We start from the raw sequence: 20,265 nt of genomic DNA on the forward strand, positions 1-20,265 counted from the left end.
AGACGCTCCCTGCTGGCGGAGATTTCCTGACCTGTCCTTCGGCGCGGGACTTTCGGCGGGTCCCGGCCGGGCAGACCCAAGTGCCGGCGGCGGAGACTGCAGTGGAGCCAGTACCGGCTGTAGTGGCCGGGGCCGTGGCGGGAGAGTCATGTCAGAGCCGCAGCCGCGGGGCGCAGAGCGCGATCTCTACCGGGACACGTGGGTGCGATACCTGGGTGAGCGCGGGGCGACGGGCGCGGCGACCCCACCACCACTGGGCTGGAGAAGCAGGGGTCGCCGGACGCCCGCCCGGGGCCTGGAGGAGGCGGGATGATCTTAGTTCTCATTCTGCTTTTGGGCCGGAGACTGGGCTCAGACAGGGCTAGGGACTTGCCCAAGGTCACACTACCCTGGTGGGTCGCCCAGGGCGGAAGCTCCCATGGGGTGAGCGGGCTGCCCGCTCTGGCATGCGCTCTGGCTGGCTGTGGAGTCGGGATCTCCACTCCCATTTCGGTCCTGACACGCACTGGCTCTGTCTGAACCTCAGTTTCCTCCTCGGCAAAAAAACAAAAACAAAACAAAAAACAAACGAGATACACACGAGGGCCTCTCTCATTGGGTGGTGGTTGCGAGGGTGGAATGGGATAAAGCGCAGAAAGCCCTGGCACTTGGCGAGCGTCTGGTCAGTGGCGCTGCCCTCGATCACTCTGCCCCTCTGGGTGCCTGTCACCTCATTAGTGCAGTTACTCCTGGGACCAAGACCAGGAAATCTAACCAATAAGCAATGGTAACAGTGACTCAGTGCTCAGTCCGCCCTCAGTGGCCCGAGTCCGAGGTGGGCATCATGGCACCAGTTTACATCTCGGAAAGGGAGGCTCAGAGAGGTCAAGTCACTTGCCTAAGGTCACCCAGGGACTGCTTAGCTGGCTAGGATGAGAACCAGCCTGCTCCAACGCCCCCTCGTGGAACAGTTGCGAGCCTAGGAATTAAATGTTCCCTCCCCCAGGCTATGCCAATGAGGTGGGCGAGGCTTTCCGCTCTCTTGTGCCAGCGGCGGTGGTGTGGCTGAGCTATGGCGTGGCCAGCTCCTACGTGCTGGCGGATGCCATTGACAAAGGCAAGAAGGCTGGAGAGGTGAGTGTTAGCCTATTTTCCAACCCCCAACCCTAGCTCTCTTCTTGTGTGGTTCAGTCCACAGCCTTGCATGTGATAAAGTCCCTGTGGGACACTCCAGTCCCTACAACCTTGCCTAGTGCAGTCCATAGACAGTCCTGTTTGTAGGACAGTGTACCCCTGCCCCCACACTCCCACTCCCCGAACTGGATGTGGCAGACTGTACCCCACTCCTGGGTGCGGACAAGTCCACTGGCCACTTGCCCCTCCCGGTCTAGCCTCGTGCCCCTTGTCGCAGGATTTTCTGCCTCTGCCCCAGCTGGATTAAGTGTCTCTGCGCCCACCAGGTGCCCAGCCCTGAAGCAGGCCGCAGCGCCAGGGTGACTGTGGCTGTGGTGGACACCTTTGTATGGCAGGCTCTAGCCTCTGTGGCCATTCCGGGCTTCACCATCAACCGCGTGTGTGCTGCCTCTCTCTATGTCCTGGGCACTGCCACCCGCTGGCCCCTGGCTGTCCGCAAGTGGACCACCACCGCGCTTGGGCTGTTGACCATCCCCATCATTATCCACCCCATTGACAGGTGGGTACCTTCTTGGCCTCAGGGATCATCCACTCTCCAGTGATGAGAGTGGATCATCCAGTCTCCAGGTAGAGCTAGACTCTGTGAAGTGTGGGGTATGCCCACTTTGCTGGAGCAATAGCAGGGACAAGGCTGGCACTTGGCTCCTGGGTTAGAAAGGACAGCCTGTACCCTTGTCATATGGTATGGCAGGCACTTTAGCAATAAAAGAAGAGGGGTGCGTTGAGGGTATGGGACACAGGACAAGTAAATTCCCAGAAAGAAAGTCTAGTGTTACAAAACAACCAGAGAGAAGCAGGAGCAGGTGCACCCTAGAGGGGATGCATTTTGGGAGGTATTGGTGACAGAAGCCTAACTCAAACTGAATATTTGAATAAAATGGAGTAAAAGTCCAGGGCTGTGTTGCATTCAGGCATGGCTAGATCTAGGTACCCAAATTATGTCATTAGGGGTCTGGGTCTCCCCATCCTGCTGCCTTTCTCCCCACCCCACCCTATTTCTTGCTGGCTTCACCTGCTTTCTCCTTGTGGGAGTAGAAATGGCCCTAGCAGCTCCCAAGTTCTATCCCACCAGCTTAGCCTCCCCCAGCAGAAGCTTTTAAACAGTAACAACAAAAATCCCAAGGAAGGGTGTCATTGGTCCATTCTGGACTGCATGCCCACCCTATGAGCCAGTTTCCCTTTGCTGATTGGCCAGGCTTGGGTCACGTGCTTGGTCTTAGAACTAGATATGGGCTCAACCCAACCAGACCAATGTAAGAGTGAGAGGAGCAGTCTTTCTCCAGGAGAAGATAGCTGACCCTGAGGCCCTGAGCAAGTCTTTTACCCAGTACCTCAGTTTCCTCCTGAATAAAGAAGAGGATGGCTTCTATTCTGGGAGTTTGATTCTAGCTTCCCCAGGTAGCCCAAGGTGGAAGGATCAGGATAAGGGTGGGTCTCTGGCTGGATGGCATTTGTATCCTGCATCTAAGCGCCCCTTTCCCTAACCCTGGCCTTCTGCCTTCTGTTCCCTCATGAACACCCTTGGTCACCTGCTCACCACCCTTCCACTCCCTACAGGTCGGTGGATTTCCTCCTGGACTCCAGCCTGCGCAAGCTCTACCCAACAGTGGGGAAGCCCAGCTCCTCCTGATCATACTCTGGTACCTGGCCTGTGCATCGGCCTCCTGCTTCATGTCAACCTCCTACTCCTGCCAGGGAATGTGGACACCTGGCTCCCTGGTGTCCAAAGACCCTGGCACCTGGGTGGGTTTGAGCTGGACAGAAGCTTAGAGACAAAGGCTTCAAGAAGCAGTGGCTGCAGGGAGTCACAGAAGGGCAGGACCTGAACGCTGTCTGCTTCCCTGGAATCCAAGATGCTGAGTGGAAGTGGACCCTGGGTGGGCCCGGCCCTGTCTTTTTCAGGAAAATTACATCCTCCCATGGAGGATGAGAGACTGAGGCTCAGGGAGGGCAAGGAATAGGCCCAAGATCACTTGGCAAGCTGGGCACCCAGGACCCCCAGGTGCTTGACAGAGTCACCCCATGGTGGTATGGCTGAACAAGGAGCGGCAGACAACTCAGGGAGAAACTCAGGAGTGCAGTACCAGGGACACCTCAGGACAGATTCTCTGGCCAGGCCCTTCCCTGACCCAATAAATCCTGAAGAGGTTGTTATGTCTTCATTTCTGTTTGGGAGGAGCAGGGATGTGGTGGTGGGGAGGAGGGATGGGTAGCAGTCTCCCCGCCCATTAGTGCTTCCCTGCAGGTGCCTGGCATCCCACGTTGGTGCTGCCAGCCTCCTTTGGGGTAGGCATTACCCTTTACTTACTTACTTTTAATAGAGATGGGGGTCTCCCTATGTTGCCCAGGCTGGCCTTGAATGCCTGGGCTCAAGCAATCCTCCCACCTCAGCATCCCAAACTGCTGGGATTATAGGAATGAGCCACTGCACTCAGCCTGGCATTGCCCTCTTTTTCTAGCCTCCTAAAGCACCAACCCCTCTGGGAGGGGAGCCTGTTGGGCAGATACCACCTGAGCCTGAAGGTGGCCAAGATGGTGGTGTCAGCCCCATATGAGGGTCACATGAGACCTCCTCATGAGGGGACTCGGCAGCCTGGAGAAGGAAGTGACCAGGGGGCTTCTTACACTCAGAATCAGGGAATGGCCTGTTTTCCTTGTGGCTTCCCCTGAGCTGCTGGGCTCGAGAGTGCTAGAGGGGGCCATTCCTCTGATCCTGGGCCATCCCCCTCAACAGCTCAGAGAGGTAGAGAGGTGGGAGCACAGGGCTGAAGCAGACCTGGGCCCCTCTCAGCCCTGCCCCAAGCACCAAATCAGCTCCCACCAAGACCCTGGCCCCATCCCTTGCAGCCCAGGTGCAGTCAGGTAGGCTGACCCTGTCCTGGTGGGACTCACCTGCACCTGGGCTGGGACTTAAAGGGGCTGCAGGGCTGGGTAGGGGTGCTGCCAGCAAGACAGGATGGGGGCTCCGGGGTGGTGGCCCCTGCTGCTCTGGGGGTATCCATGGCTACAGGATGAGTCTGATGTGGGCTGAGCCTTTCTCTGCTACTCTTATTGTCCCACACTGGCAAGGTCCCCTTCCCAAGCCCCTATGGCCTCTGCCCAGTCACCTGTCACTCCCTCCCAGCTCCCTTAAAGGCTTTAAGCCCCGCCTTGTTCTCTAGCCCCCGACCCCACCCCCCATTCCCTGTCTGAGCTGGCACTCACATCCTTCTCCAGCCCAGCATTTTCCCAGCTCATCTTCTCCCCCGGCAGTCACAGCCCCATGCGGGGTACATTCACACCTGCATCCCTGTGACATCTCCTGGCATCTACCACCAATTCCTTGCTCACTCACTCTCCACTTTCCACTCTGCAGGCTCTCCCTCAAGCTGGGATCTGTGCAGGCCACATATAGGCTTTGTGCTCATGGGCCTAAGCGCCCAGCCTTGTCCTTCTCCCCATCACCTGCCCTCCTGTGCCTCTATGCCTTTCCTCACAACACACTGTTCCTCAGCTGCAAATCCTTTTCCTCTTGGCCAGCTATGAGCACCCTTCAGAACCAGCTCCAGTGCCCCTTCTGTTGTTGCCCCTTACTATGCCTTACTGTGGGCCACCTCTGCCCTTGACTGCCCCGTTGGTGGTAACTTGTGAGGAAATACCGGGGTGCAAGTTTGCAGATGCCTGGCACATAGTAGGTGCTCACAGAAGGGGCTTTGAGGCACTCCCAGGCCAGGCTGATAGGGATGAGGTCGGTGGACATCCTGTCTGTAGGGGGAAACACCACCATCTCCACAACCCCCCAACATTTTACCCTGCTCCATTTATTATTATTATTATCATTTTGAGACTGAGTCTCGCTCTGTCACCCAGGCTGGAGTGCAGTGGCACAAACTTGTCTTACTGCAACCTCTGCCTCCCGGGTTCAAGCAGTTCTCCTGCCTCAGTGTCCCAAGTAGCTGGGACTAGAGGTGCATGCCACCATGTCCAGCTAATTTTTGTATTTTTAGTAGAGACGGGGTTTCACCATGTTGGCCAGGCTGGTCTTAAATTCCTGACCTCAACTGATCTGCCCACCTTAGCCTCCCAAAATGCGGGGATTGCAAGCGTGAGTCACTGTGCCCAGCTCCCTGCTCCATTCTGGAGATGCAGGGAATTAATTGAAGGTGGGGGATGCTGGGGGAGGTTTTTGGGCACCCTCTGCTGGCCATGTTCTCGCTGAGTCTGGTTCTCCGCCTGAGCTAGCCTGGGCTGGATTGCCAGGAGACAGCCTCCTGCAGGACTGTAATCAGACAGATGTCCTCCTGGCAGTGAGGAAGGAGCCCCAGGTGGATGCTTGCCACCTGTGCCTTGGCACCTGCCTGCCCTCCCCAGTCCCTGCCATACCTGGCTATGAGGTCTTCACTGCCCCATTCAAAGCTTATGGCTTCATCCAACTGGTGAGGGGGCTGTTGGAGGCTCACGAGGACAAGGCTGCCAAGAGCCAGGGAGTACCCGGGAGATTCGGGGGAGAAGAGCTGGGGTGTCTGGGCTGGAAAGAAGGGTAGAATCAGATCATACTGATTTGCAAGTCACAGCCTCTCCGAGTGTGAGTTTTTCTCTCAAAGATGCAGAGCCCTGTATCTCTGCAGAATTCAGTAGCTAAGGATTTGATGCAGATTTGCCATTTAGCATCTGTGTGTTTGTACGTGCCCTTTACGTGCATTTGTTTCTTGCATCCTCAACAGCCCCGTGAGGAGATAAAACCATCATTCCCATATTCCACATGAAGACACTGAGGCTCACAGAAGGGAAGACCCCACTGTCTACCACCAGATGCAACTCAGCACATCATTCTTCAAAGCAGAATTGGCTTTTTTTTTCCTTGAGACAGGGTCTCGCTCTGTTGCCCAGGCTGGAGTGCAGCGGTGCAATTATGGCTTACTGTAGTCTTTACCTCTCAGGCTCAAGTGATTCTCACATCTCAGCCTCCCAAGTAGCTGGGACCACAGGCGTGTGCCTGGATAATTTTTTGATTTTTTTTTTTTTTTTTTTTTTTTTGCAGAGACTAGATCTCGCTATGTTGCCTAGGCTGGTCTCCAGCTCCTGGGCTCAAGCGATCCTCCCACCTCGGCCTTCCAAAGTGCTGGGATTACAGGTGTGAGCCACCGAGCCCTGCCAGAATAGGCATTTAAGCAAGACAGGGACCTCGAATGAGGCCTAGCAGGAAATTGAGGCCCAGACAGGGCAAGTGACTTCAAGACCACCCAGTGAGGTGGGGGCCCAAGCTGGGAGTAGACCTTTCCTGCCTTTTCCCACCATCCTAAGGAGCAAGTATCCTCGCAGATCTCAGGAAAGATAGTGGAATTATTTGCTGACCTGGTCTATGCACCACCACCCAGTTCAGAGCAGCCCTGCAGTGCTGCCTCCCGCCATTGGGTCAGCAGTGTGGTCAAGGCGTGAGCAATGCCTAGCACCCCTAAGCCTGTCTAGGGCCCTGCCACCTGGAGGTCTGCAGGAAGAGGGAATGGTAGGTTGGATGGGGGCTGCCCCTCCAGAAAGGGGCCACCAGGCGCTGACCTCCTGGCCCCCACTTGGTGTGAGCCTGGGGCAGGGCTGGAAATGCTCACCTGGGGGTTGGAATTTGGAATTCCTGGCCTTTTCCCTCCTGTTCTTCCTCCTCATGGGCTGCCCTGGGGGACTTGGCATGGGCCTTTAGTGTTTGTTTTCTGGGCCCCCTCACATGCCAGAGTTGCAATGTTCCCCGCCCCCCCCTTATTTCCCTGCCAGCCCAGGAGCTCCCATCTCACCTCCCACCTCCTTGGTCACTGACTCTCTGGCTGCGTTTGGAAATCTGGACTTCAGCATGAGACTTTGGCCTGGTTCTTTGCCTCCCACAGGTGGGGGACATTGGCTGGGCTGAAGTAATGTCCCAAGAGGAAGGTCTTCTAGCTCAGGGACTCCTGTGCCTCCAGTTCTGGGCCAGGTTACCCCTGGAGAAATAAGGAAGTGAGGGAGGACCAGTAACAGAGTGTGAGGGCACTGGGCTTCTGGCCACCTGGCCCTAGCTTTTCCTGCTTCTCCTCTTGCTGTGTGGCCTCAGGCAAACCCTTCAGCATCTCTGGGTCTCGTGTCTTCCCCATCTTGGTTTCATTCCACCTCAGGGTGGGGCCATACTGGAGGATCCAGACCCCACCAACACCAGCACCATTTTCCTGGGCTCTGAGCTCCACATGGAGTTTGCTGTGGTTGGCAGCTCCCATTAGCCTTTACAGGTATATGTGGACGAGTGTGTGATCAGCCCCAGCCAGGATATGGAAGTGGCCCCTGCACACTACAGCCTTGTCAGGAATCATGGGTACTGAACCTGGAGGAGGAGGATAGGGTAGGATGGGTACAATTCAGTGGGTGATATCTCTGGGGAGGCTGGGACAGGGGCTGAGAGCCTTCCAGGGCTGGAAGGCACGGATGCCCAGATAGTGCTCCCTGGGCGTTCTTGAGTAGTCCTTTCTAGGCCAGGGGAGCAAGAATGCTTTACTGGCCCTTTCACCTCTGGAGCCTCTGTTTGCCCTTCTGTGAAATGGGGATAGTGCCAGAATCTTCAAAGCCTGCTGTGTAGACTGAATGGGGTGACGCTTAGCTCAGTGCTTGGCATGCAGAATTCTCAACAAATGATGGTGTATGGTGGTGTTGGGGCTAGGACCAGATCCCAGTTCAGGGGTCTGACCCTGATGACCTTCCAACCTGTGCCTTCCAGGTGCCTGGTGAACGGCAAGAACTTCCACTCCCACTTCGTGCCCCAAGAGGTCCCCAAGAGACTGGAGCTCTCCTTCCAGGCCTTCAGCTTTACTGGTACTCCTGCTGATGTGAGTGGAAACAGATAACCCCCTCCCCACTCTGCCACCCCGTAGGAACAGAGACCCAAGCTGAGGAATCTTTGGAAGTTACGGGGTGCACCACAAGCTGTTGCTCTGGAATCTAAAGGTCCCATCTGATGCTACCAAGAAGGCCTGTTCCTTCCACAGGGGCACTCATGGTGAGTCATGTTCACCAAAGGTGTACTGCATGCCTTACCCTGTAACTGGCATTTGAGGTACATGACCTCACTTAATTGTGTGGGAGGTGAGGAAACTGAGGCTCAAAATAGCTCAGATTGAATTTCTGCAATAGTTCCCCATGCTTGGCTGGACCACAAGCCCAACTGCTTTGGCCTAGAGTGGGCAGTGTGAGGTATACTGGGAATGGAGGCTTTGGACTGTGACCTAGACCCAGGTTCAAATCCCAGCTCCAGCTCTTGCTGGCTGTGACATCATGGGCAAGTCACTGACCTTTTGTTAGCCTCTGTTTCTTTGCTTGTTAAATGCAGGTCTGGTCCATGCCACCCCTAGCTCCCATCTCTGGTGCACTGACCACCTCCATCCCTCACCTCTAGGTAAGAACTTCTGGATGCCTCCCTGGGAGTATGAGTGACAGTTGTGAGATTACCTGCCTGGCCCCCTGATTACCCTATCAAAGGTCCTTGGCAGGTAGGAGGCCCCTGTTTTGGGTGTGGAGGGTGGAGGTAGGCTCTGAGGCAAGGGAGGCAGCTGGCCCGGGGAATCAGTCACAGCCTTGCATGAACAGGCTTATAGAAGACATCATCTTGCTACTAAAGGCCTCTGAGGAAACTGACACTGGCCTGGACCACAAAGACCCACTCAAGGTGCCCATTGATCAGAACCAAGGAGGGTCCTGGCTTCTGGATCCTGTCTGGAGAGGCTTCTACTGTGTGGGACCTTGGGCAAATCCTTTCCCTTTCTGGGCCTTGGTTTCCCCAAGTGCAAAATGAGAGCATTAGATTGGCCTGCCACTTTTGAGCCTCTCATGTAATCTTTATTAAACAGATATCTGGAGACCCCTTCACCTCCACCCACATAACCCTTGATATATGCCCTTCTGAGAGTTTCATAGAGGAGAGAGAAGGCTTGTAGTCACTCACACCATAGTATAAACAACATGTTATCTTTTCTGTCCTTGGAAAAAAAATAGCTTCATATTCTCTCAACTTTCAGTATCAGTAAACAAATAGTAGAAGGTCAGAAGTTTATAGCTGTGTGTGTTGGGGGTGTGAGGGGATGTTGTGTTGTGGCTTAAAACTGTCTTTGATGTCTTTGGCTTCCAGATTCCAATCAGGCCTCTGAGAAGGCTTCCCATCAGGCCCCTGAGAAGGCTTCCAATCAGGTGACAGAGAAGGCTGACTTGTCCTCTGAACTGAGTCAGGCTTCTGACTCTAGGGGGCCTGGAGACGAGCAAGGGAGCCCTCTCCTGTAGCCTGGGCTCTTCTCCAGGTCCCCTTCACAGTGAGAGACACTGGAGCTCTGCATCCAGTGGTCTTTGGCAGTCCCTGTAGAACCAGGCTCTGGCTTCCTCCTTCTCCCCTCCCTCTCCTCCCTGGGCCCCCATTTGTGGCCTGCCAGGGCAGAGCCTGAAACCTCAGGCAATCTGGCTGTAAGCTTGCTTACCTCATGACCTTGGAAGCCACTTACCCCTTTGAGCCTCCTTATCCAGAACAGTAACTGCTGCCCACTGCATATTGTTAATACATGCTGCCTTTGTTGCCTGCCTGCCTGCCAAAGGAGGGGCCAGGGCTTCCATTTTTCTGTTTAATCCTCCCAAGAATCCTCCCAATAATCCCATGCAGTAGACACAATCAGGTCCCATTCTATAGATGGGGAAACTGAGGCTTGAGGTCACATAGGCGTCGTTCAAGGCTGGTATACCTGCACCCTCTCCCATGTGAACAACATGGTTCTGGGTAATGGGGGCTGTCATCCAGTCTCCTCCCTGCCCCTGCTGGTGCACTTCCTGCCTCTGCTGGTGCACTTTCTGCCCCTACTGGTATATTTGCTGCCTCTGCTGGGGCGCTTCCTGCCTCGGCTGGTGTATCTCCTGCCCCTGCTGGTGCACTTTCTGCCCCCGCTGATGCACTTCCTGCCTCTGCTGGTGCACTTCCTGGCTCTGCTGGCGCACTTCCTGCCTCTGCTGGTGCACTTCCTGGCTCTGCTGGCGCACTTCCTGCCCCTGCTGGTGTATTTCCTGCCCCTGCTGGTGTACTTCCTTCCCCTGCTGGTGCACTTCCTGCCTCTGCTGGCGCACTTCTTGCCTCTCCAGGCCCTACCTAGCCTCTCCCTCTTATATATGGAAGTCTTCCCAGTTCACTGACACTGGTAACAGGGACTCTGCTCTTGGTGTTGCTGTCTGCCCTGGGGATGGGCATCTGTGTCTTCCTTTACTACTGCTGGCTCAGGACCCAGAGCTTTGAAGCATGTCCAGATGCAGGTCCGGGCACCAGAGTCTAAGGAGCCCCTACACCCACCAGGATTTTCCAATAAAGAGATGTTCACCAATGAGTTTAGCTCTCTGGTTTTCCTGAGGAAGGGCTGGGAACATGAGGTCCCCAGAACAGGGGCCACTGTTGGGGATACTGTCTTAGGCATGGCAGGACTCAGACAGGGGTGGGGAGGGGTGGAAAGAAGTGCGTTTTTCCTCCAAACCTGTGGCTGCCTTGGGTAGGCTGGGCTCAGAGCACTCCTGCCTTTGCCCCTTAATGTTTGAGAAGCCCAGCAGCCCCCTAGGGCGGAGGTTGAGCCTCTTGAGGATGACAGAGAGGAGGGCCCATTGGAGGTTTACTTTGCATATCCTCTTGCCTGTAGACCAGTAAGTGGCATGTCACAGCTGGCCAGTAGGGATGACAGCCAATTGTTAGCTTTTCAGGAATTTTATGAGCTCGTTGTTAGACACAGCCATTATTAAAAATTAAATAATGTAGGCTGGTGTGGTGGCTCATACCTGTGATTCTAACACTTTGGGAGGCCGAGGGAGGTGATCTGCTTGCGCCCGGGAGTTCGAGACCAGCCTGGGCAACACGGTGAAGCCCTGTCTCTACAAAAAATATAAAAATTAGCTGGATGTGGTGGTGCACGCCTGTAGTCCCAGCTACTCAGAAGGTTGAGATGGGAGGATCGCTTATGCCCAGGAGTTTGAGGCTGCAGTGAGCTGTAATCACACCACTGCATTCCAGCATGGGCGGCAGAGTGAGACCCTGTCTCAAAAAAAATAAATAAATAAACAATATAAAAAGATCAAATGATATAAACTTAGATTTAAATACATTTTACTAAAAACAAAGTAAATGCTCAAAACTTGTTGCCTCGTAATCATTTTACTATCTTAATAGTAAATATTTTACTATCTTACTATCTTACTATCCTTACTATCCTCACTATCCTTACTATCATCCTTACTATCCTTACTATACCTTACTATCATCTATGCTCTTGGGAGCTTATTTACATCTATTCTGTTTGGTGGAAAGACCACATTATCATGTGCTACTGTGTATCGCTTTATGTGGGAAGCTTGAAATAGGCCATAGTGGACACATTTATACCATGGAAATTGACAAGGCAGGGTCTCCATACCTAGAAAGTCCTGTAGTTTACCACCATTCTTCTGACCCTCTTGCTAACCCAGAGGGTAGGTAGTGTGAACCAAAAGTATCTGAGACAGGTCTCAATCAATTTAGAAAGTTTATTTTTCCAAGGTTAAGGATGCACCTGTGACAGCCTCACCCTGATGCCATGTGCCCAAGATGGTTGGGGCACAGCTTGGTTTTATACACTTTAGGGAGACATGAGACATCGATCAATGTGTGTAAAATGTACATGGGTTTGGTCTGGAAAGGCAGGACAACTTGAAGTGGGGTGGGGGCTTCCAGGTCATGGGTCGATAAGAGATAAAAGTTTGTGTTCTTTTGGATCCTTATCAGCCTTTCACTGAATAACAATTTACATGTGAGCCGGGGTGGCGGGTAGAGGAATAGTCACTTATGCTTTAGTCTGGCTCAGTGAAGCTGCATTTTTACATAAACAATAAGGGCAGAGGAAGCAATCAGATGCATTTGTCTCAGGTGAGCAGAGGGATGACTTTGAGTTCTGTCCTTTGTCCTGCACCTGTGAAGATCAGCTATTCATTTACATTGCCAGGGTGAAATCCAACAGAACTGTTTTAGGGTAAAAATCTTGAGGCCTACAAGGAATTTCCTTGTGGGCAAAATGTGCATGAGGTATGTAGCTTTTTAATCCTTGTAGCTATCTTATTTAGGAATAAAATGGGAGGCAAGTTTGCCTGATGCAGTTCCCAGCTTGTCTTTTCCCTTTGGCTTAATGATTTTGAGGTCCCCAGATTTATTTCCCTTTCATAGTAGATAAACTGCTCCCCATTCCAGACTTACATTCTAAGAATCAGAGAAGGCAAGTGACCTGGCAAAGGCCTCCCAGCATATATGGTCACAGGTAAAACTCAAGCCTGGTCTGTTATTCCCTCCCCAAAACTGCCTGGTAGGGAGAAGGGAAAGCCAGCCTCAGCTGTGACTGACTCCTGGCTATCTGGAGCTCTCCCTCCAGATTCCTTTCTACCTCTCTGGCTGTCACCCCAGTGCTAAGAGCCTGGGCTCAGGCCCTCCTCTCTCTACCCTGGCTGCTCCCGCTCATTCCTGTGGCTTCTGTCCCCAGTACTCTAGCACCACATCTCCTATCTGTCCCCTCTAGACATATATCATGGTAGCAGCCTCTAGCTTGTTCCTCTCCAAATGTTCCCTCTGGCCAACCACTTCTTACAATGTTCAGAACAGAGTCCAGACCCTCACAGTGGCTCTCAGGGCCCTTGGTGATCTGGATAACGCCCCTATCATACACACCCTTCTCACTGCCCCACCCCAAATCTTCATTTCAGCCATTCTGTCCTTTTTGGGTCCTTAGATCTGGTGTTTCTCCTGCCCAGGCTTTCTCATATACTGTTCCCTCCTATTGGGACACTCCCTTCCATGCCTTTCCCCCAGCCCGTCCTGCAGGTTCACCAGCCCTACCCTGATTACAGCTCCCTCCTCCCTCAGTTCCTGCTCCCCAACCCAAGGTGACCTCTGACCCCCTCTAACTGGCTTAGGAAGCTCCTCTTGTAACCGCCAAGTGGGTTATCAAGGCAGGGGAATTGCAGTGGAGAAAGAGTTTAATTTATGCAGAAATGGCTGAACAGGAGACCAGAGTTGTTTTTTGTTTGTTTGTTTTGGTTTTTCTTTTGAGATGAAGGCTTGCTCTGTCGCCCAGGCTGGAGTGCAGTGGCGTGATCTCGGCTCACTGCAACCTCCTCCTCCCAGGTTCAACCCATTCTCCTGTCTCAACCTCCTAAGTAGCTGGGACTACAGGCATGCGCCACCAGGTCTGGCTAATTTTTGTATTTTTAGTAGAAATGGGGTTTCACCATGTTGGCCAGGCTGGTCTTGAACTCCTGACCTCAGGTGATCCTTCTGCCTTGACCTCCCAAAGTGCTGGGATTACAAGCAGGAGCCACTGAGACTGGAGTTTTTTTATTATTCAAATTAGTCTCTTGGAGCATTTAGGGGCTAGGGTTTTTCAAAGGTAGTTTAAGGGAAGGGTGGCGGGGGTGGCTAGGCAATGGGGCCTGCTGCTGACTGGTTGGGGGTGCAATGATAGGGGTGTGGGAAATGATCCTGTATGCTGAGTCACTTCTGGGTGAGGCCACAGGAGCAGTTGGCAGGTCCAGGTGGAACCATAGGTGTCAGACATACAAAAAGCCTGAAAAGATACCTCAAAAAAGCCCGGGCGTGATGGCTCACACCTGTAATCCCAGCACTTTGGGAAGCCGAGGTGGGTGGATCACCTGAGGTCAGGAGTTTGAGACCAGCCTGGCCAACATGGTGAAACCTTTGTCTCTACTAAAAATACAAAAGCTAGCTGGGCGTGGTGATGGGCATCTGTAATCCCAGCTACTCAGGAGGCTGAGGCAGGAGAATTGCTTGAACCCAGGAGGCGGAGGTTGCAGTGAGCCGAGATCGTGCCATTGAACTCCAGCCTGAGCGACGAGAGAGAAACTCTGTCTCAAAAAAGAAAAAAAAAAAGATACCTCAAAAGGCCAATCTTCACGAAGGGCCAGGGGTCCCACAGGTGAGTGGAGCCCCAGCAGCCCCCTCAGCTCTGCGTGCCCATGTACTGGTCTTCTCCCTGGCTCTATACTCAGTGTTCAAGGGGTTGCAGTGAGACGGGGCTTGGGCCGCGGAGCTGCGCCTGGCTTTGCTGCTCCACAAGGGCACCGTGGCTGTCAGCCTGTCCCTGCAACTGCTGCAGAGCCACGTAGGGTTACAGGTGGTGGCTGGCTGTGGGATCCACTTCTTGTGCATGACACTTCTAGGCATCCGGCTGGGTGCGGCTCTGGCAGTCAGCAGGGCCTCTGCACCAGCTGGCCCAGTCTGTGCTAGAGGGCATGGTGGCTGGCACCTTCCTCTATACCACCTTTCTGGAAATCTTTCCAGGAGCTGGCGACTTCTGAGCAAAGGATCCTCAAGGTCATTCTGCTCCTAGAAGGGTGTGCCCTGCTCACTGGCCTGCTCTTCATCCATATCTAGGGGGCTTTGAAATAGAGGCCGCTGTTCTCCCTCCCTGCCCCAGTGTGTGGGGAAAAGGAAGGAATGGGAAGGGAGGTTCTGAGGACGAAAGCTTTCTCTAGGAGCTAAGGATGGAGCCTTTGGCACTATCTGACCCATGAGAGGGAAGTGGGCAGGCAAGAGAGACTGGTCTCAGCCCCAAGGAACGAGAGACGGCTGAGTCACTAGAGACATGATCAGGGACATTAGTGTTACTAGAAAGGGGTCCCGATCCAGACCCCAAGAGAGGGTTCTTGGCTCTTACACAAGAAATAATTCGAGGTGGGTCCATAAAGTGAAAGCAAGTTTATTAAGAAAGTAAAGGAAGGCCAGACGCGGTGGCTCATGCCTGTAATCCCAGCACTTTGGGAGGCCAAGGTGGGCAGATCAAAAGGTCAGGAGATCAAGACCAGACTGGCTGACACGGTGAAACCCTGCCTCTACTAAAAATACAAAAATTAGCCAGCTGTGGTGGCGCATACCTGTAATCCCAGCTGCTTGGGAGGCTGAGGCAGGAGAATCGCTTGAACCCGGGAGGCGGAGGTTGCAGTGAGCCAAGATTGTGCCACTGCGCTCCAGCCTGGGTGACAGAGTGAGACTCCGTCTCAAAAAAAAAAAAAAAGGAAGTAAAAGAATTAAAGAATACTCCATAGACAGAGCAGCAGCATGGGCTGCTTGACTGAGTATACTTACAGTTATTTCTTGATCATGTAACTGCCCAGCGGGTTCTCCTTGCCCACTGCCTAGACAGAGCCGATTGATCAAGACGGGAATTGCAATAGAGAAACAGTAATTCACACAGAGCCTGCTGTGTGGGAGACTGGAGTTTTATCATTACTCAAATCAGTCTCCCCGAGCATTCGGGGATCAGGATTTTTAAGGATAATTTGGTGAGTGGGGGGCCGCCAGTGAGTCAGGAGTGCTGATGGGTTGGGTCGGAGATGAAATCACAGGGAGTGGAAGCTGTCCTCTTGTGCTGAGTCAGTTCCCAGGTGGGAGCCACAAGATCAGATGAGCCAGTTTATTGATCTGTGTGGTGCCAGCTGATCCGTCAAGTGCAGGGTCTGCAAAATACCTCAAGCACCGATCTTAGGCTTTACAATAGCGATGTCACCCCCAGGAGCAATTTGGGGAGGGTCAGAATCTTGTAGCCTCCAGCTGCACGACTCCTAAACCACAATTTATAAACTTTTGGCTAATTTGTTAGTCCTACAAAGGCAGTCTAGTCTCCAGGCAAGAGGGAGGTTTGTTCTGGGAAAGGGCTGTTATCATCTTTGTTTTAAACTATAAACTATAAACTAAGTTCCTTCCAAAGTTAGTTCAGCCTGTGCCGAGGAATGAACAAGGACAACTTGGAGGTTAGAAGCAAGATGAGAACGGGCATGGTGGAGCGCCTGTAATCCCAGCATTAAGGGAGGCCGAGGTGGGCAGATCACTTGAGGTTGAGGTCAGCAGCTCGAGACCAGCCTGGCCAACATGATGAAACCCCGTCTCTACTAAAAATACAAAAATTAGCTGGGCATGATGGTGGGCACCTGTAATCCCAGCTACTTGGGAGTCTGAGGCAAAAGAATCAGTTGAACCCAGGAGGCAGAGGCTGCAGTTAGCCAAGATTGTGCGACTGTACTCCTGCCAGGGCGACAGAGCAAGAGTCGATCTCCAAAAAAAAAAAAAAAAAGCAAGATGTAGTTGGTTAGTTCAGATCTCTTTCACTGTTATAATTTTGCAATGGTAGTTTCAAGCATAAGCTGAGTGTGATGGCTCACGCCTGTAATCCCAACACTTTGGGAGGCCAAGGCAGGTGGATCACCTGAGGTCAGGAGTTTGAGACCAGCCAAGCCAACATGGAGAAACCCTGTCTCTATTATAAACACACAAAAAATTACCCAAGCACGGTGGTGTGTGCCTGTAATCCCAGCTACTCAGGAGGCTGAGGGAAGAGAATCACTTGAACCTGGGAGGCAGAGGTTGCAGTGAGCTGAGATCACGCCACTGCACCCCAGCCTGGGCAACAGAGAGGGACTCCATCTCCAACAAACAAACAAACAAACAAAAAACATATATTAAACAATTACTCATCAGTTTTGGAAAGAAGTGGGCAGTTCCCCTAACTGACGGTTCCTCCTCTTTTTAGACCATATAGGGTAATGTCCTGATGTTGCCATGGCATTTGTAAACTGTTGTGGTGCTGGTGGGAGTGTCTTTTAGCATGCTAATGTACTATAAGTAGCATATCATGAGCAACGAGGATGATCAGAGGTCACTTTCTTTGCCATCTTGGTTTTAGTGGTTTTCGGCTGGCTTCTTTACCACATCCGGTTTTGTGTTATGTTGGGTTTTTGGTTTTTTTTGTTTTTTTTTTTTTGAGACGGAGTCTTGCTCTGTCACCCAGGCTGGAGTGCAATGGTGTGATCTTGGCTCACTACAACCTCTGCCTCCCAGGTTCAAACAATTCTCCTGCCTCAGCCTCCTGAGTAGCTGGGATTACAGGCACATGCCACCATGTCCTGCTAATTTTGTATTTTTAGTAGAAACGGGGTTTCACTATGTTGGTCAGACTGTCTCGAACTCCTGACCTCAAGTGATCCACCTGCCTCGGCCTCCCAAAGTGCTGGGATTACAGGTGTGAGCCACCGCACCCAGCCACCACATCCTGTTTTATCAGCAAACTTTTTGTGACCTGTATCTTGTGCCAACCTTCTATCTCATCCTGTGACTAAGAATGCCTAACCTCCTGGGAATGCAGCCCAGTAGGTCTCAGCTTTATTTTACCCAGTCCCTACTCAAGATGGAGTCACTGTGGTTTGAAAGTCTCTGATGTTAGGATTGGGGAAGACGCTTGACTGCCAGAATCAGAGGTTGGACACTAAACATAGGGACAGGCTGACATGGGAGGCTGGAGGTGGGCACACGGCTGCTGTGGGATAGAGGGATAGAGAGGACATAAACCCAGAGTCAGTGTCCTGTTGGTTCTACCCCATTTCAGCACCTGTCACTTGGAGTGGACCCCTCGTACTTTTCTTAGCTCCTACTCTCGTATCTATCTCCCTCTTCCCTTCTCCCAGGGGACGAGTGCCAAATGGTCTCTCCCTGCCATTTTGATATCTTCTCTCCAGTCCTGCTCACTCTCTCTCTATATATATTATTTTTCATGAGAAGCAGTCTCGCTCTGTCACCCAGGCTGGAGTGCAGTGGTACGATCTCGGCTCACCGCAACTTCTGCCTCCTGGGTGCAAGCGATTCTTCTGCCTCAGCCTCCCGAGTAGCTGGGATTACAGGCGCCTGCCACCACGCCTGGCTAATTTTTGTATTTTTAGTAGAATTGGGGTTTCACCATGTTGGCCAGGCTGGTCTTGAACTCCTGACCTCGTGATCCGCCTGCTCCACCCTCCCAAAGTGCTGGGATTACAGGCGTGACTCGCCGCGCCCAGCCTTGCTCACTCTATTTTTAAAGTGCCAAACAAATCCCCTCCCTCTTTCTCAAAGCACAGTGATGTGCCACTGAGCCCTGCCCAGCACCTCAGTGGAGGGGGCCTGCTTGCTCTTTGTTTTGGTCCCAGATCCTGGGGTGGGAGAGAAATGTTTGCTGGGCCAGGGTTGGGAGAGGGTTGGAGAGCTGCAGCCACCTACCACTGCTGTACCCCAGGAATACGGCACATGGACATGGCACCCCCCTGCCCAGATGATAAACATGAGCTCCCAAAACATTCTTTTAAATAAATTAGAGGAGCGCAAGGGGGAAAGGGAATTCCTATTCCCAAAGGTTATTTTCGGGGAGGGAAGGCTGTGCATAGGGCCATATTCTTTAGAATCTGTTTTATTAACTGACCTGTTTTGGGACATGTTACCCAAATAAAAGGTGTTTCTAAACAAAACAAGACAAAAATAACAACAAAAGGCCAATCTTAGGTTCTAAAATAGTGATGTTACCTGCAGGAGTACTTGGGGAAGCTGCATATCTTCTGACCTCCAGAATAATGACTGGCTATCATTTATGTCTACACCTTAGGAGAATTCAGCCTTCTCTGTTCTCCTACCCTGGTGGTCTCTTATTAGCTTCGCAAAGGTGGTTGAGTTTTGGGGAAGGGCTATTATCATTTAAACTATAAACTGTCTCCCAAAGTTAGCTTGGCCTAAGCCCAGGAATAATTAGGGGCAGCTTGAAGGCCTGGGGCGAGATCAGGACTTGGCTAGATCATATCTCTTTCACTGCCATAATTTTCTCACTGTTATAATTTTTGCAAAAGTGGTTTCACTCTGGGCTCCCTCTAGGCCAACACTCCCCCCATTGCTGTAGTAGCTGCCTCCTCTGTGAGCATTTATCCTGGAGGCTGCACATCATCTGTGTGGCTTTCAGACGCCATTGGCCTCATGGTGAAGTGGGGTTAGCAACAGAGACTCCTCCCACCAGCTTGGGAGGGCTGAAGTGAGACATCCCAGGTTCCTGGCCCAGAATGGGCAGTCGCCCCCTCCCAGGCAGCCCAGCCCCTGCCTCTGCCCCAAACACCCAGGGGTAGTTGCTGAGTTTAGCAAATAACAGGGTGCTCAAATGTGAATTTCGGATAAACAGCAAAGGATGTTTTAGAAGTGTACCCCTAACATTGCATGGCACATACTTATACTAAACTGGGCATCCTGTATTTTACCTGGCAACCTTACTTGAAGGGGTATCCACAGAGCTGGAATACCTCCTTCAAACACTCTAGCCATGTACAACTGGGAAGCTCTTTCTCCAGGGAAAGCTTACCTCTTTCCTGGGCAGGGGACCAGAAGCAATTCTTTGGGGCTTTGAGTTCTGTGCTAAGTCATTCATATGGGTGGGGAAACAGGTACAGAGAGGTCAACTAGACAGGAGGTGGCAGATGGTGGTTGTGATGGGAAATCGCCATTCCCTGTGTAAGAGGATGGAGCGGACCTCAGCTGGGATGGGGCGGGGTCTTTTCCCACCCCCGGGTTTTGTGGCCTTTGTCCTAGTGCATGCTGGGAGTCGGGCCCCAAGTGGCCATCTTCACGCAATACTAGCAATAACCACAAGGGGGGAGCACCTCCCAACGTGCCCATGTTGGCCGATTCAAACTGATTATTGATAAACTCTTAGTGAATTGCTCATAGTGGGCACCGGGTCCTGTTCTAAGCAATTCATGCGATGTGACTCATTTAATCTTAACAACCTTCAACAGAAATGGGGTACAAAAAATAATAATAATCTTCATAACCTCATCTTGAGATGGATGTTGTTATTAGGTCTCTGTTTCCTAGAGTTAAAATCACTGACCCAAGCTCACGCAGTCCCCTAACTCCCGATACCTCCCCCAGCCTAGGACTGCTTTTGCCCACTGCCCTTCCAGCCTATGACCCTCTACACAGTCAGGGGATGATTCATAGGCTGTGTGACCTTGGGCAAGTTACCTAATGTTCTGAGCATTGGTTTTCTCTCTGCACAGTTCTCTGTAATGACCTGAAGCTGTTGTGAGGATTACAGACAAAATGATTCACAAAGCATCCAGGCAGAGTGGGGCTCACAGCAAGAGCTCCACAAATACTGGCCATTATTTTTGTGGCAAGAGACATCCACTTCAAGGGCAAATGATTGAATCGTTCCATCTGTGTCTAACCCAGATATAAAAAATGCCAATTACATGGTTCAAGGATTCCACTTT

General features: G+C 52.3%; 1 protein-coding gene, 1 long non-coding RNA gene and 1 pseudogene across 3 annotated transcripts, besides 5 other annotated features; all 3 read left to right on the forward strand.

Annotated features, from left to right (window-relative positions):
- The first annotated feature begins 36 nt into the window (after positions 1–36).
- MTFP1 (mitochondrial fission process 1) lies at positions 37–3,323 on the forward strand. Of its 2 annotated transcripts, NM_016498.5 has the most exons (4): positions 37–215; positions 986–1,113; positions 1,440–1,672; positions 2,731–3,323. In NM_016498.5, exons 1-4 carry the CDS (start codon positions 149–151, stop codon positions 2,801–2,803), a joined length of 501 nt encoding a protein of 166 aa, NP_057582.2. In that variant the 5' UTR covers positions 37–148; the 3' UTR covers positions 2,804–3,323. The 2 variants fall into 2 exon arrangements, with proteins under 2 accessions (NP_057582.2, NP_001003704.1); NM_001003704.3 differs by lacking the exon at positions 1,440–1,672.
- Positions 297–855: an enhancer, noted in NCBI's record as "H3K27ac-H3K4me1 hESC enhancer chr22:30822016-30822574 (GRCh37/hg19 assembly coordinates)". NCBI's record gives its function as "activates a minimal SCP1, AML or CMV promoter by ChIP-STARR-seq in naive H9 embryonic stem cells {active_cell/tissue: H9 hESC(naive)}" and the evidence as "EXISTENCE:reporter gene assay evidence [ECO:0000049][PMID:30033119]".
- Positions 856–1,416: an enhancer, noted in NCBI's record as "H3K4me1 hESC enhancer chr22:30822575-30823134 (GRCh37/hg19 assembly coordinates)". NCBI's record gives its function as "activates a minimal SCP1, AML or CMV promoter by ChIP-STARR-seq in primed H9 embryonic stem cells {active_cell/tissue: H9 hESC(primed)}" and the evidence as "EXISTENCE:reporter gene assay evidence [ECO:0000049][PMID:30033119]".
- Positions 3,324–6,954: 3,631 nt separating the features above from the next.
- Positions 6,955–10,770, forward strand: LOC105372990 (uncharacterized). Its single transcript, NR_148046.1, has 4 exons — positions 6,955–7,513; positions 7,886–8,164; positions 8,561–8,654; positions 9,290–10,770. It is a non-coding gene; the product is annotated as an uncharacterized LOC105372990 (long non-coding RNA).
- Positions 10,087–10,608: an enhancer, noted in NCBI's record as "H3K4me1 hESC enhancer chr22:30831805-30832326 (GRCh37/hg19 assembly coordinates)". NCBI's record gives its function as "activates a minimal SCP1, AML or CMV promoter by ChIP-STARR-seq in naive H9 embryonic stem cells {active_cell/tissue: H9 hESC(naive)}" and the evidence as "EXISTENCE:reporter gene assay evidence [ECO:0000049][PMID:30033119]".
- SLC39A1P1 (SLC39A1 pseudogene 1) lies at positions 14,106–14,819 on the forward strand (annotated as a pseudogene).
- Positions 16,929–16,978: an enhancer, noted in NCBI's record as "active region_18838". NCBI's record gives its function as "activates an Ori minimal core promoter by ATAC-STARR-seq in GM12878 lymphoblastoid cells {active_cell/tissue: GM12878}" and the evidence as "EXISTENCE:reporter gene assay evidence [ECO:0000049][PMID:35858748]".
- Positions 19,451–19,745: an enhancer, noted in NCBI's record as "tiled region #4237; HepG2 Activating non-DNase unmatched - State 8:EnhW, and K562 Activating DNase matched - State 5:Enh". NCBI's record gives its function as "activates a minimal TATA promoter and a strong SV40 promoter by Sharpr-MPRA in HepG2 and K562 cells {active_cell/tissue: HepG2 | K562}" and the evidence as "EXISTENCE:reporter gene assay evidence [ECO:0000049][PMID:27701403]".

This window comes from Homo sapiens, chromosome 22, assembly GCF_000001405.40.
Source record: "Homo sapiens chromosome 22, GRCh38.p14 Primary Assembly".
Taxonomy (NCBI): domain Eukaryota; kingdom Metazoa; phylum Chordata; class Mammalia; order Primates; family Hominidae; genus Homo; species Homo sapiens.

Bases quoted from the DNA above. Each gene is read 5' to 3' on its own strand.
- MTFP1 (NM_016498.5), top strand. From the start codon at position 149: ATGTCAGAGCCGCAGCCGCGGGGCGCAGAGCGCGATCTCTACCGGGAC. The intron at 216-985 runs GTGAGCGCGGGG...TCCCTCCCCCAG, and splicing joins CACGTGGGTGCGATACCTGG to GCTATGCCAATGAGGTGGGC. The intron at 1,673-2,730 runs GTGGGTACCTTC...CACTCCCTACAG, and splicing joins ATTATCCACCCCATTGACAG to GTCGGTGGATTTCCTCCTGG.